Here is a 14,565-nt window from a genome sequence, read left to right on the forward strand (position 1 = left end):
GCCCTCTCTCTAAAAGAGTACTAGTTTATCAGTTTCCTCTTAAAAGAAAGTTCCTAGAATTGAACGCAATAATGTAGATGTAGTCCCAGGACAGGGAAGAGTGTGGAGTATATTTCCTCCCTTCATCACAACATTAAATTTATATATGACTGCAGCCCAAGAAGATTCATTTTCAAATCTGTGATGTCACACTCTTGGGTCAGATTGCGTAAATCTCTCTCTGGCTGACTTATAACCCCTCTGTGTTTCTAATGTTTGTTGACTTTGCTATCAATAGGTTGGTGAGAAGTTCCGTGCCCGTTCTTTGAAATTTCCTGGCTTGATATCAGGTTGCACTATGGACTGGTTCAGCCGCTGGCCAAGGGAGGCTCTGATTGCTGTGGCCTCCTACTTCCTTTCAGACTATAATATTGTCTGCTCTAGTGAAATTAAAAGACAAGTTGTAGAAACAATGGGCCTGTTTCATGACATGGTTTCAGAGAGCTGTGAAAGTTATTTCCAAAGGTAAGTGATATTACATAAGCACCATCGCTATGGAACCACAGCATGTATTCCCAAGAGGAATGCATTGTAACATCCAGCAGAAGACTCTTTCTATTCATTGAGCACGAGCTGTATTTTTAGATCTTTCTTGCTTTGATTTTCTAGTGACTATGTATGAAGAGATGGCAAGTAAACAAGATTTAAAAACGAACTAGTGTCCACACTTAAATACCTTTTTATCCTCCAAGCCTCAGAGTAACAGATGCTTAATGAATTACTTTATTTCATCTGCTTAATTTTGTTTTGAAAATGACTTAACTAATTCATCACCAACTGTTTAAAATTAGTTTCTTATTCAAATGTATTATTTATTTTGATTAAAGTACACTGCTTCTAATGTTTCTTTATTGCCTTATGTTAAAGGAGTATTTAGAATTTGTATTTGCATTACTTAGTCTTACCAATGTTTCTATGCCAGACAACTATGAAACAAAATATCAATTGACTATGGGAAAACCACTCACTAAAAGCAGCAATGGCATGTTCATTATGTGAAAGCTGGTGTCAACCATGCAAAAACACAGCTTTTTTCCCCAAAGCATGACAGTCACTGTGTAAGATTGACAAATGGGCCAACGTGGATCCCCAGAAAAGCTATGCCTGTTTTTCTGCATAGAGAGTTTGCGTAACACTTTCATTGATTTTCAGTGAGGTTCCTACTTCACAAAAGTTTATTTATTCCATACCTTTTCCTTTACTTAAAACCATTCCCAGACCACCCTTTTAGATAAGATCTCCCAAATTCTCTTGGTGAATCAGTGTATACTAATTCTTACTGTTAAGAAGATTTTCTTTCTATTTGAACGCCTGCTAATGTCATCCATGGAGATAAATTTTTACCTTTGTGCAGCTACAAAAATCTGTTTCTTTACTTTGAAAATTTGGGTATATTTTTCAAAATTTTTTATATGTTCTTAGGTTGTTGAAGTTTATTCTGAATGTAATATTTTTACAACACTTTAATGATAGTCACATATATGCCCAAGATCTTAAAAAAAACTCAAAAGCATTAAAAATCTTCAAAACTACAAAAGTTTAAATTAATATAAAAGGTTAAATAATTTTATAGTACGTGAAGAACTCTTTTTTCACTTGAGCTTCTTCTGTATAAAATTATGCCTTTTGTAATAAAGCCACAATAAAGTGGACATTTGAATCGAGTGTGGTTGCCTTGATTTCAAGGCCAATCCAGTGAACTTGGGAGACATTGGTTTTTGCTTCTGTAAACCCACCCAGCTGGTATCCAGCAGTGAAGAGGTTGTAACAAATATCACTTGAATGAAAATGGATCACAGCACAAATTCATTTCAACCACTTATCCCTAATATTTGTCCAGAACCTTAAAGTTTTGCACTGTTGACACCAGCTTTCACATAGATTCATATATGCGATTTTATTTGATCTTCACAAAATTCTGGGAGGGGTAGAGCAGATATTCTTTTCTCTATTTTCCAGATGAGGAAACAGAGTTGGAGTTAAGGGTGAAGTCAAAGACCCCTCAGGGTTGAAACATCAGACAGATTTAGTCCTTTTTCCACCTCACCTCTGAGAAACCTTGCTCAAGTCCTGTCTTCCTGCTAGTGAATCACTCTACATGATCACACTGATTTCACCTTGGGAAAGGTGTCGTTTTATGGGAGTACGCACAATGATTGAAATGGTCCTTTTAATGTTCTGCTTTCAGATACCGCCGAAGAGCACATGTGACTCCCAAATCTTACCTCTCATTTATAAATGGTTATAAAAACATTTATGCTGAAAAGGTGAAGTTCATTAATGAACAGGCTGAACGTATGAATATTGGTAAGAGGAATGGAATGGAATGGGATGGAATAGAAATAGGGTTTATTTGATAGGGATCTCAATATTTTGTTTGGTGGACATTTTGTCTGAAAATGAAATACTCACTTTGTTAGTAGTAGATAATTTTAAAGGATGGCCTTGAGGGTATTTTGACCTGTCGAGAAACTCTGAACAGAAGAAAATCTAAACAGAAGTGGCCTATTTTCTCTGCAGAACCATTTCTCCTGGCTCTTTCAACTCTGGGTCCCCTGTGCTGAGTCACTGAGCCATTGCTGGCAGATGGGGACAAGCCAGCTTTTGGGAATGGACAACAATTTCAGTTTTTGGTTTCATTTTGATTTGCCTTGATTTGTATAAACTTTGCCATGTTAATTTTCCCTACATTTCTAATAAAGAAAAAGGCAAAATAGAAGCAAAAACAAATAAAAACAAAAAGAGATTGTGTACCTAAGCAAGAGTTTTCCAAGTGTCTGCTATATGTAGTATAACTAGCAAAAGTAAACATTGGAAGAGATTATATGTCCAGAAAGCATGTGGCCCAAACAATCTAAAACACCTTAGTTCTTATTTTTCAAGTTCTAAATAAAACTTGAGGGGCTGAGTATGGTGGCTGATGCCTGTAATTCCACACTTTGAGAGGCCAACGCAAGCGGATCACTTGAGCCCAGGAGTTCAAGAGCAGCCTGGGCAACATGGTGAAACCCTGTCTCTACAAAAATATAAAAATTAGTCAGGCATTGTGGTGGTGCATGCCTGTAGACCAAGCTACTTGGGAGGCTGAGGTGGGAGGATCACTTGAGCCCTGGAGGTCAAGGCTGCAGTGAACTGAGATTGCACCACTACACTCCAGCCTAGGTGACAGAGTGGGACCCTGTCTCAAGAAAAAATCAAAACAAAAACCACTTGGTCACATAGCATAACAGCGCCAAGGTCTGTGAAGTCATAGTTATGAGAGAAGACTGTGAAAGAAGGCTTCTTCTGCGGTTTTCTCATGATTCAGCTTCTTGCAGCTTTCCTATATGATGCTTTAGATCAGTAGTGTGCTGAAGCCAACTCATAGTGGCTTTTGAGAACACAATGTTAAATTTTTAGGAATTTTGTGATCTCCTTGTTAAACAGAACTTTTATTAAAAATTAACTCATGTATACTTACAATTAAACAAATTGGATTTAAAATAAAGGCAATAAATGCTCAAACTCATCCCTTCTTAGTTTTACTCTTTTTTTTTTTCTTTTTCTTTGAGACAGAGTTTTGCTCTGTTGCCCAGGTTGGAGTGCAATGGCGTGATCTCTGTTCACTGCAACCTCTGCCTCCCAGGTTCAAGGAATTCTCCTGCCTCAGCCTCCCAAGTAACTGGGATTACAGGCATGCGCCACCATGCCCAGCTTGTTTTGTATTTTTAGTAGAGACAGGGTTTTGCCATGTTGGCCAGGCTGGTTTCGAACTGACCTCAGGTGATCCACCCGCCTTGGCCTCCCAAAGTTCTGGGATTACAGGGGTGAGCCACCGTACCCGGCCTACTCTATTTTCTTATATCAATGTTCTTGAGGTTATTTACTTCTGTCTGTATGGTAGGAATATTACATAACAGTGTGGTACTGAGAATCTTTTGGTAGCCTGAAATCAGCCATGGTGGGAGTGTTTACACTACAGAAATTGGACAATATACAGATGAGGGCTTCCCCTTTTCCCAGTGACCCAGATTTAAATATTTACCAACATCCCACTACCTAGAACCCGTTGGAATGTGAGCAATTCAGTTAACCAGTTCTTTTTCTCTACGGTGCTAAAAGTTGCAAAGTCCATTACATAAGTTTTCACAGTTATTTTCATTTTTATAACAAAGAGAACCACAAAAATGTTAATATATTTTCTATTTCATTTGCCACCTCAGCTGCAATATGATTCAAAGGCAAAAAATGATAGCTACAAACTGTTTACAAAGCCACAGAGAGCATAAATTTGTCAAATAAGTTTCTTGGCCAAACTAATCTTATTCAATAGGACATTGTGACTTTCCCTTAAATGTAGCTACGTGATATTCTTCGGTCAGAGCTATTTTCTTTGCCTTCCTGTTGAAACTCAGAAATATGGTCAATATTGTTGCTTTTAAGACATGTATATTTTTAAAGCTTTTGTCTACAATTTTGTGTTTGTTATATTACATGTACAGTGCCTAATAAATAGTAAACATTGAATAAATATTTGATGAAGGCATATACCTGTACTCAGTAAAGGTATATATGTGTGTATTTGTAAAGGTCTTGATAAACTAATGGAGGCAAGTGAATCTGTTGCTAAACTCTCTCAGGATCTTGCAGTCAAGGAGAAGGAGTTGGCAGTGGCTTCCATAAAAGCAGACGAAGTGAGTTTGCATTTATTTTATCACTGATGAGGAATATTTTTCCATATTAAAATGCATTGTTTTAAAATGGTACTAAAGAACAAGCAGGGTATAAACCCATGGACAATTCCTGATAAGATAGTGTTCACAAAGACCATTAGACATTTTTGTTTAACTTATACCAGCGTATACCTGAACTATTAATTTTGCTACTTGGCCTAAGACTATTATTTCTTCTCTCACTCTGTCTGTCTCTCTTGTTCTTTTTCATCTGTTTATGAAATTTCTGCTTGACTATGAGTTATATTTGGTCTTCTGTTTAAGGTCCCTGTATGTTCCAGGTTTCTGGGATGGCCCAAATCGAGGAAGAGTTGGTAGAGTTTTTTTTTTTAAAAGAAAGAAAGAGGAAAAATCCATACTCCTCTCAAGGAGATAGGTATATATGTGTGCTGCTTTTTCTCTTTTTTTTTTTTTTTTTTTTTTTTTTGAGACAGAGTCTTGCTCTGTTGCCCAGGCTGGAGTGCAGTGGCGTGATCTCGGCTCACTGCAACCTCCACCTCCTGGGTTCAAGCGATTCTCCTGCCTAATTTTTGTATTTTTAGTAGAGACGGGGTTTCACCATGTTGGCCAGGATGGTCTCAATCTCTTGACTTTGTGATCCGCCTGCCTCGGCCTCCCAAAGTGCTGGGATTACAGGCATGAGCCATGGTGCCCGGCCTATGTGCTGCTTTTTTATCTATTATACAGCCTTCTAGTCTCAGACTTTCAGCTTCCAGTCACCAAGAGTCAGTTAAGAATAGATACTTCAGTCTTGATCCTTAGCCAGTTGCTGAAATGAGTGAACTAACATAGGGGAGGCACTTAAGCATAGTCCTGGCATATATGGTAAGCACTCAATAAACATTAGCTTCTTTTATTGTTATTATACAAGGCTTAAAATGGTTTTTTGCCCTTATTCTATGATACTTACTTGAATTGTTTTAATTTTCTAGAAATTTGTAGAGTGAAAATACTATTTCTTCTGAAAGCTTTAAATATTTATTTATATATATATTCTAAGCCTAAGAAAAGCTTAGAAAATGGAAGACTGCGAGGAACTGCTCAAAGGAATTTACTTTAATATACCTTAAAATATAGACAACTTAGGAAATAAGTTTGTTCTTATTCGTGTTTTATATTATGTTGAATAAATATTTGCTCACTATTCAGATCTATAAATTTTGCTTGAAAGGTTTCTATTGGCTTTCATGTGTTTCCTCAACTTAACAGGTATTAGCAGAAGTCACAGTAAGCGCTCAGGCTTCAGCCAAAATTAAAAATGAAGTACAGGAGGTAAAGGACAAAGCCCAAAAAATTGTGGATGAAATTGATAGTGAAAAAGTGAAAGCTGAAAGCAAGCTTGAGGCAGCTAAACCTGCACTGGAAGAAGCAGAAGCAGCCCTGAATGTGAGCAGTGCATTGTTACCCCTTCCAACACAAGTCCTAGAAGGCTTCATGTTTCATTACATGAAATTAACTCATCAGAAAACTGAATTGAATTCTTAATGTGATTGATAATCTCTGAGTCTGGAAACAAATGTGTCAATTAATTCAGTTTTCTAAGTTCTAATTTTTTTAAAGTCTTCCCCTCTTATATTATTTTCATCCCACAAATTGGTCTTCCATGAGAACTGAGAAATAATGCTAGTGGTTAGTGGCCTAAACTGTGAGAAATTCAGATTACGCAGAGAGCCTGCTCAGTTTCTCCAGCATCCCTTCCAGATTATGTCATGCTCCCTTTTAAAATCTTCCTGTGGTTCCCACTGCTCTTAGGATAAAGTCCTGAGCTAGACATCCACAGCTGTGAGGCAAAAGGGGCACAGCTTTGGAGGCAGGCAGACCTGCATTCAACCTCTATATATAATACACACACACACACACATACACACACACACACATACATACACATATATGTGCATGTATATATATGTGGATATATACACACATATATACACACGTGTATATACTTACACACTGCTAATACACACACATATAAGTATGTATGTACATATAGATGATCTGGAGTAAATTTGCTTAACTTTCTTGGGTTTCTATGGGGATTATAATTTCTCATTGATCCTTAAAGAATCAATGTGAGCATTAAAATTAATTAATACAAAATGCTAGGCACATAGAAAGCACTCAATAAATATTAGTGCTTCTGTTCCTGCTGATGACCTGGCTCCTGTCTGTCTCTTCAACTTTATCTCTTGTCATTTTGTCCCTACACACAATGCGATCCAGTCATACAGAAAAATGTATAGGATTCTGGAAGAATGGTCAGGATCTGTTACCTTTAAACGTGCCTCCACCTCTGCTGGGAATGCTTTTCCTAACTTTCATTGCCTAATTAGAGTCATTCTTTAAATCTGGGCCCAGACCTCACTCCTCCCAGGAAGTTTTCAGTTCTTCTTCGAGGCCTTCCTTTGTTTTCCTATCACTCACATGCTTCTGTCATGGCAGAAATCCTTATGTAGGGTAATTGTATTTGCTTTGCCATTTTCAGAGGTTATGAGGACAAGACTATTTTGGTTTGCTTTGTTTTATATGGGAGAATGCCTGCAATTGTTAAATGAATGAATAAATCTATGATAATCATTTAATAAAATTTTCACAATGACCAGGACACATTCTGCACCCCCACTTCCTTTATGGGTCTTACTGTAACGTACAAAAGGAAGAGATCACCGAACCGAAGGAGTCTTAGAACATGTTATTGATCATATGGTCTCCCAGTCCTTGCCTTGATGGTCAGGCAATGTCTTAATCCAAACCCAGCCAATGGATAGAAATTTTCAAAAATGTTTTTATGAGCCATATATTACAGTAATTTTCTTGTCTCCTTCTAATTCCTCTCCCTGCCATAGACAGGGAAGCCCTCACAATGAAGGCTAAAGGTGAGGTTTCTGATATTCAGGGCTTTGTATCCTCTCTTAATATCCACACCTAATATAGACCCTGTGCTTTGAAGATGCAAGTTATCTAAATGTTACATATCAGTGGGACTTATTAACAGAGGTCTATGATGGCAATGCCTGTTAGTGATATTTTAAACCAATTCGTTGGGAGCAACAGGGAAAAGAAGAATACATACAAATAAACACAAATACCAAAATAACAATGAAAGAGCCACTAAGCAAAAATCTTGGAAATGGAGAGAAAATATGTTTTAAAGTTTTCTATCTTAATTATTGAAAAGTATTAGATTTCCATATAACTATTAATACCACTCAACAAACAAAATATTGATCCTTAATCCCAAATATAGACTATCAAGCCAAATGATATTGCCACAGTCAGGAAACTTGCAAAACCACCACATCTTATTATGAGAATCATGGACTGTGTTCTGTTACTATTTCAAAAGAAAATTGACCCTGTTACTATGGATCCAGAAAAATCTTGCTGTAAGCCATCATGGGGAGAGTCATTAAAGGTAAGTAAAATCTATCATTGTCAATCCTATGAGCTGCATCAGGCGTCCTCAGCCCAGGACACTCAATATAGACCAGACAAACTGGCAGACAATAATTGATCATTGCGTATTGAAAAGTTTATCTTAAACTCCATCACCTAAAATGTAAAGAGGGATAGATTTTAAAGCCAAATACCTTCTTTTTATGACATCTGTCCAGAACCGGTGGCTAGTATTGGCACAGCCTTGGTGTCAACCCAGCCCAGTTTTCAAAAAGGGGCTTGTGTGGTTGGTGGCATTCAGATGCACTTACCAGAAAGAAAACTTACATAGCTTTTCTTCTTTACTCTTTCCACATGGAATCCAGAAGACAATTTGTGATTTACAGATTTAGGTTGGCTACTGCCAATAGTCTCAATTTGTGTATTTAGAGCAAATCATCTATTACTTCTTTGAGAAAATTCAATTTAGAAGTACATATTAACTCAGGAAGAAAGTATTTTCTTCCAGAACTTACAGGTTATAATACTATTTTTCAGTTGATGAGTGCAACAGGATTCCTGTGGAGCCTTCAGCAGTTCCCTAAGGACACTATAAATGAAGAGACTGTTGAGTTACTACAGCCATATTTTAATATGGATGATTATACTTTTGAAAGTGCCAAAAAAGTCTGTGGGAATGTGGCTGGTCTCCTGTCTTGGACACTTGCTATGGCAATATTTTATGGCATCAATAGAGAAGTGTTGCCTCTGAAGGTAAAAGTTTCCTTCCTTCTCCCAGTAAATCAATATTTCATAAAATCAGTCATCAGTATTACTGCTATTAAAAGACAATGCGTAGTTTAGACCAATAAAGGTAGATGTCCCTGTTACCAAATTTGTCTTTTTTCTCTATGTCCTCTCAAAGTTTCTCCTTCTTTTTATATCTGTTACATGTTTCTTGACAATGCAGGCAAGTGACTGAAACCAACATGTTAACTTACACAGGAAATGAATTTCTTGGGAATAATAATCAAGCTGTCATAAGAAGAAAAACTTGCCATTTCTTTGAAGTTTGGAGATTAGGTTTGGAGGTTGAATTTGATTACTGTATTTCAAACAAAACTTATAAAATTAGGTTTGACACCTAGAAAGGTTTTAAATTTCAAAGACAGAAGGAGAACCTTAAATGCAATCTAAGAAGCAATCAGACAAAACCTAAAAGGTTGTTTACAAAAGACAAATCAAGATGTTGCAGATTTCCCACAACCCTAAATACTAGAAGATAATGAAAAAACATATGCAGAGTTTTGAGGAGGAAAATGCTGGGGTCCAAGCACTCCATAATGGCCAAAGCTGGTCTTCATGGATGAGGGAACAGAATGAGATTCTTAGGAGGGCAAGGATTCATGAAATGTATCACTCAGATACACACTGCCTCCAGGGCCCCATCCCAATCTCCCACCCCAACAAAGCTAAAAGTATTATAAGTGGTTGCTCTGTGGAATGGATAATGAGGAGTCGGTGGGCAGGGGGTTACTGTTTTTCATAAGCCTTAGAGAAGTGGCTGCCTCCTTTAAAACCTGTGCATGAGGAACTTTGAGAAAAATAGAAAGTCAATTTAAAATAAAAAGTTTTAACAAAGAGAAATGATAGGAAAAATACAAAAAACACACCCCAACAAAAAGATACTAAGGGAGAAATCTTACAATAAATGTAGAATTCAAGAAAAAAAAGAAAACACACACACACATCAGAAAAGAACTATTCTTTGTTGATAAAAATTATGATCCATAGTGAAGACAATTAAAATAATGTGTTATGCAATAAATAAAATAGCATAAAATTGTATAAACCAAATCCATTAGTATTTTCAGTGGAAATTAACAAACATAATACTGTAATTTGAGATTGTGATACATGCTATGAAATTAACAAAAATAATATTGTAATTTGAGATTGTGGCTACCCCTGGTAGGCATAGGGCCAGCTTCTTGGGTGTGCACACAGGGCCTTGTGTTAATGCTCTGCTGTTGCCCTCTTCAGATTCTTAATATTTTTTTTTAACAAGGGGCCCCACATTTTTCATTTTGCACTGGGCCCTGTAAATTAGAGAGGCAGTCCCGAGTAGGCATAAATTAGTAATTATATAGAAATTTTACATGATACTATTTTTCAGGTTGAATAACTACATTGAACTTTCTTCAGTATAAACAAAGAACATGAAATTATTTCTAGAGTACAAGAAACATTTATAAGAATTAATTATATTCAATGGTAAAAGAGGACCTTGATTAAATTCCCGAAAGCAAAAAATCCTGGGGTCTCATTCTCTGAGTATAAGCAATAATACTGGAAACTTTACATTAAAATGAACTCAGTCATTCCTAATTAGGAAATGATGAAAATAAGCGAGTTACCAAAGCTTCTGTGATATGGCCAAAATGGTACATTCTTAGCCCTTACATACATCAAAGAAACTAAACATTCCACTGAAGAGTTAAAGTATATACTCACTCATAAGCATACATACACATGAAATTTAAGGAAATCGGAATAGAGCCAATAAAAATAACATTAAAAATTAGAGAAAAGCAGCAGAATTAATGAGCAAATCTAAGAACCTATGCTTTGCAAAAACAAAACTGTAAGAAATATTCCTGGAAAATCTAATCAAGAAGAAAATGAAAACAAATGAAAATAGAAAGATAAATCCTCATAATTCTAGATGTGAAGATTTAAATAATTATAAAGTAATTGTTTTTTAAGAGACAGGGTTTCATTCTGGCCCCCAGGCTGGAGTGCAGTGGTGCAATCATAGCTTACTGCAGCCTTGAATTCCTGGGCTTAAGCAGTTCTCCTACCTCAGCCTCCCAAACTGCTCCCAGGATTATAGGTGTGAGCCACTGTGCCAGGCTGCAAATATTACCTAGTTATATGTTAATATATTAGAAAATCTAAATGAAATAAAAGTTTTATGGGAAAAGGAGCTAAATTCAAATAAACATTGAGAATGAAAATAAGAAAGGGATCAAAGAACTTCTACCCCAGAAGGCTTTGGGCCTAGATTATTTTACTGATTATTTTAAATTTACAGGAAGCAGATCATTACCACATTGTAGGACTTAGAAAAATATGAAAAACTACTGTTACAGTAATTTCACTTGCAGAATCTTTGAAATTGGATTGTTACCAAAGTAACAATCCTAAATGTGTACATATCCAATAGTATTTATCACAACATTATTTGTAATAACTAAAAATGGGTGGGTGGACAAATGTATATGAGTAGGAAAAAGGTTAATTATGATACATCCAACACGTAGAATATCATGCAGTCACATAACTAACGTTCATGATGGACTTGGGACCTTCATAAAATGAAATGAAATGAAAAAAAATCAAAATGCCAATTACCTACTTCCTAACACAATACTCACAGGTTATGTCTGAGAAATTTCGGGGTAACTTTTGTCCTCCTTTCTATACATTGCTGCATTTTCCATGTTTTCTTATTGAACATTAATAATTAAAAAAATTTTTTTGAGACAGGGTCTCACTCTGTCGCCCAGGCTGGAGTACAGTGTTGCGATCACAGCTCACTGCAGCCTCGACCTCCGGGGCCCAAGTGATCCTCCTGCTTCAGCCTCCAGAGTAGCTTGGACTACAGGTGCATGCCACCATACCTAGCTAATTTTTCTATTTTTCTGTAGAAACAAGATCTCACTATTTTGCCCAGGCTGGTCTTGAACTGGGCTCAAGTGATCCTCAGCCTCTCAAAGTTCTGGGATTACAGGCATGAGCCACCACACCTGGCCAGTAATTAAAAATTTAAAAGTAATGAAATACCCTCCAAGACGCTTTGCTTTCCCAGCTGAAGACACGGAAACAGATGTGCTCGAAAGTCCCGTCTAGTGCAGAAATTATGTGATTTGTGTTATCTACCAGTTACAATCATGACTGTTTCATGCAGCTAATACACTAACCACGTCTTCTTCTTTTCAGGCCAACCTGGCCAAGCAGGAAGGCCGGTTAGCAGTTGCTAATGCTGAGTTAGGGAAGGCACAAGCCCTGCTGGATGAGAAGCAAGCTGAGCTGGATAAAGTACAGGCAAAATTTGATGCAGCAATGAATGAGAAAATGGTGAGATTAAACATAAAAAATCCCCAAAATGGTGTACTGAAACTTTACACAAGAGCATGCTATATTTGGAAATCAGGCAAATGGTTGTGATGAAAAAATATTGGCCAGCATGCCTATCTGCTTTGGATCTTTGGTGCTCAAAATTATTTTTTGTGTTTTCACTGATCAAACTTTACCGTCACTGATTTGAGGGTTAGAAAACTGGGTTTGAGATGCAGCTCAGACACTTGTTAATTGTGTGGTTTGGGGCTTTCACGCGCGTCCATGTGAAGAGACCACCAAACAGGCTTTGTGTGAGCAACAAGGCTGTTTATTTCACCTGGGTGCAGGCGAGCTGAGTCCGAAAAGAGTCAGCGAAGGGAGACAGGGGTGGGGCCGTTTTATAGGATTTAGGTAGGTAAAGGAAAATTACAGTCAAAGGGAGTTGTTCTCTGGCGGGCAGGGGTGGGGGTCACAAGGTGCTCAGTGGGGGAGCTTTTGAGCTAGGATGAGCCAGGAAAAGGAATTTCACAAGGTAATGTCATCAGTTAAGGCAGGAACAGGCCATTTTCACTTCTTTTGTGGTGGAATGTCATCAGTTAAGGCAGGAACCGGCCATCTGGATGTGTACATGCAGGTCACAGGGGATATGATGGCTTAGCTTTGGCTCAGAGACCTGACAGGGGCAATCTACCTAGCTCTGTTTGTAAAATGGGGATCCTAATATAACCTCTTGGGATAGGTTGTAAGCAGTGGTGGTCTGGTAAATGTTAACAATCTAGTGTGCAGTGTGGGGAGAGGAAAGTCCGGATTTGTAATATTTGCTGATTTCTGTGGTGTAAATACTCCCATCACTGGCAATTTTAAACTCCAATGTAACGTCACTGAGCACAGATTTGGGAAAAGGTGCATGGCAGTACCCCATCGCATACTATTTCCACCATCCAGATACAACGGTCTTAACCTCAAAACCATAGATAATATTAACATTTAAATAATTAGGAAGTAAGCTTTTGTTATTTATTACTTTTGCTTTTAATATAATTTTTTAATTGTAAGCTTACATAGTTTAATTTTTAATAAAGGCTGTGTTTAGCACCAGCTCACAAATACTCTAAAAATTTAACAATTGGCTCTTAAGAGTTGATACAAGCCGGCTGCTACATGCTATTGTTGTCTGGGATTTTTCCAGGAGAAAATACTTTGTAAATGACAAAGAACTCGGGATTATTACTGCATCCAAGACATCAAAATGGCAAATCTTATTGATTTGATTCTGTTTTGAAAATATTCAATAGAAATACTATTGTAATTTGTCTGATTAAAAGATAAATTATGTGATTTGGATTCTGTCTTACAAAATTGCTTTCCTTGAAATTTTATAAGGTAAAATCACTATATTATGAATGATCAAAATTTAATATGTGAAGTTTCAATGCACACTGTATTTTTAGGTTATATTATTTTGCAAAGTAAGAAATTCCCCCATGTATTTTTATGTGTGAATATAATGGATGTTTGTGTTAAGCACTTAGAAAAGTTTTTTGAGACATTCTCCCATTATGGCTGCAGGATTTGCTTAATGACGCTGATACGTGCCGGAAAAAGATGCAGGCCGCCTCCACTCTCATCGATGGGCTGAGTGGAGAAAAAATCCGGTGGACCCAGCAAAGTAAAGAATTCAAAGCTCAGATTAATAGGTGGGAATCTGGGTCTTCTTCATAATCACTCTTTCTTTGTGACATTAGAGAACATAAAGTCCATTTCCATGTGTTCATCTCTGAATCCCATCATCTATGACAGTGCTTGCAACTTAAATCATGCACTCTCAGGTGAAATACTATAGAGGGTGAAGAAGATTTTGTGAAATATTTTACATCTCAGCTGTGGTTCAGCACTGTGGGTTTTCAGTATGAGAGTGCTTTTGATATTGTTTGGATTTGCCAGAGCCGTCTCCACTCCAGTTCTCTATGCTTCACCTCAATGATTTTGAAAGTGTGGATCAATGGTTTGTTGTGGATCAATGGTTTGTTGTAAATGCAAGGCTGTCTTCTGCTGGTGTCTGTTGGTGTCCTTAGAAAACTTAAAAGAGAGGGGAATGAGAGAGGAGCAAGAAAATGGCAAAAAAATAAAAATAAAAATAAAAAAATAAAAAAATAAAAAGGGAGGGGAAAGAAAAAATGGTTTAACACAAGACTGAAATCTGAATAAGAGCAAGGGACAGGATGGGGGAAGATACTTTCCTCACAGTATCAAGGCTCACGACCTGTAGGCTTCAGGAGGAAGCCTTCTTTCTTGCTTCCTGACCACCCCACATGTG

At 37.1% G+C, this 14,565-nt stretch overlaps 1 protein-coding gene and 1 long non-coding RNA gene across 9 annotated transcripts in view; one reads left to right on the forward strand and one right to left on the reverse strand.

Moving 5' to 3' along the window:
- Positions 1–14,565, forward strand: part of DNAH8 (dynein axonemal heavy chain 8) — a 315,482-nt gene that overhangs the window by 193,930 nt on the left and 106,987 nt on the right. For all 8 annotated transcript variants that reach the window (XR_926078.3, NM_001206927.2, XM_011514319.3 and 5 more), the window contains 8 exons: positions 278–504; positions 2,228–2,346; positions 4,609–4,712; positions 5,961–6,137; positions 7,999–8,166; positions 8,685–8,900; positions 12,129–12,266; positions 13,818–13,945. Coding sequence is in view for 7 of the 8 variants with exons in the window: in NM_001206927.2 (NP_001193856.1) it covers positions 278–504; positions 2,228–2,346; positions 4,609–4,712; positions 5,961–6,137; positions 7,999–8,166; positions 8,685–8,900; positions 12,129–12,266; positions 13,818–13,945 (1,277 nt within the window). In the remaining variant the exon portion in view is untranslated. The remainder of the gene's footprint in view (positions 1–277; positions 505–2,227; positions 2,347–4,608; positions 4,713–5,960; positions 6,138–7,998; positions 8,167–8,684; positions 8,901–12,128; positions 12,267–13,817; positions 13,946–14,565) is intronic.
- The window catches only part of DNAH8-AS1 (DNAH8 antisense RNA 1), a 46,613-nt gene that overhangs the window by 2,746 nt on the left and 29,302 nt on the right, over positions 1–14,565 (reverse strand). The window contains exon 4 of the long non-coding RNA NR_038401.1: positions 13,845–14,327. This is a non-coding gene — a long non-coding RNA (DNAH8 antisense RNA 1). The remainder of the gene's footprint in view (positions 1–13,844; positions 14,328–14,565) is intronic.

This window comes from Homo sapiens, chromosome 6 (assembly GCF_000001405.40).
Source record: "Homo sapiens chromosome 6, GRCh38.p14 Primary Assembly".
NCBI lineage: Eukaryota > Metazoa > Chordata > Mammalia > Primates > Hominidae > Homo > Homo sapiens.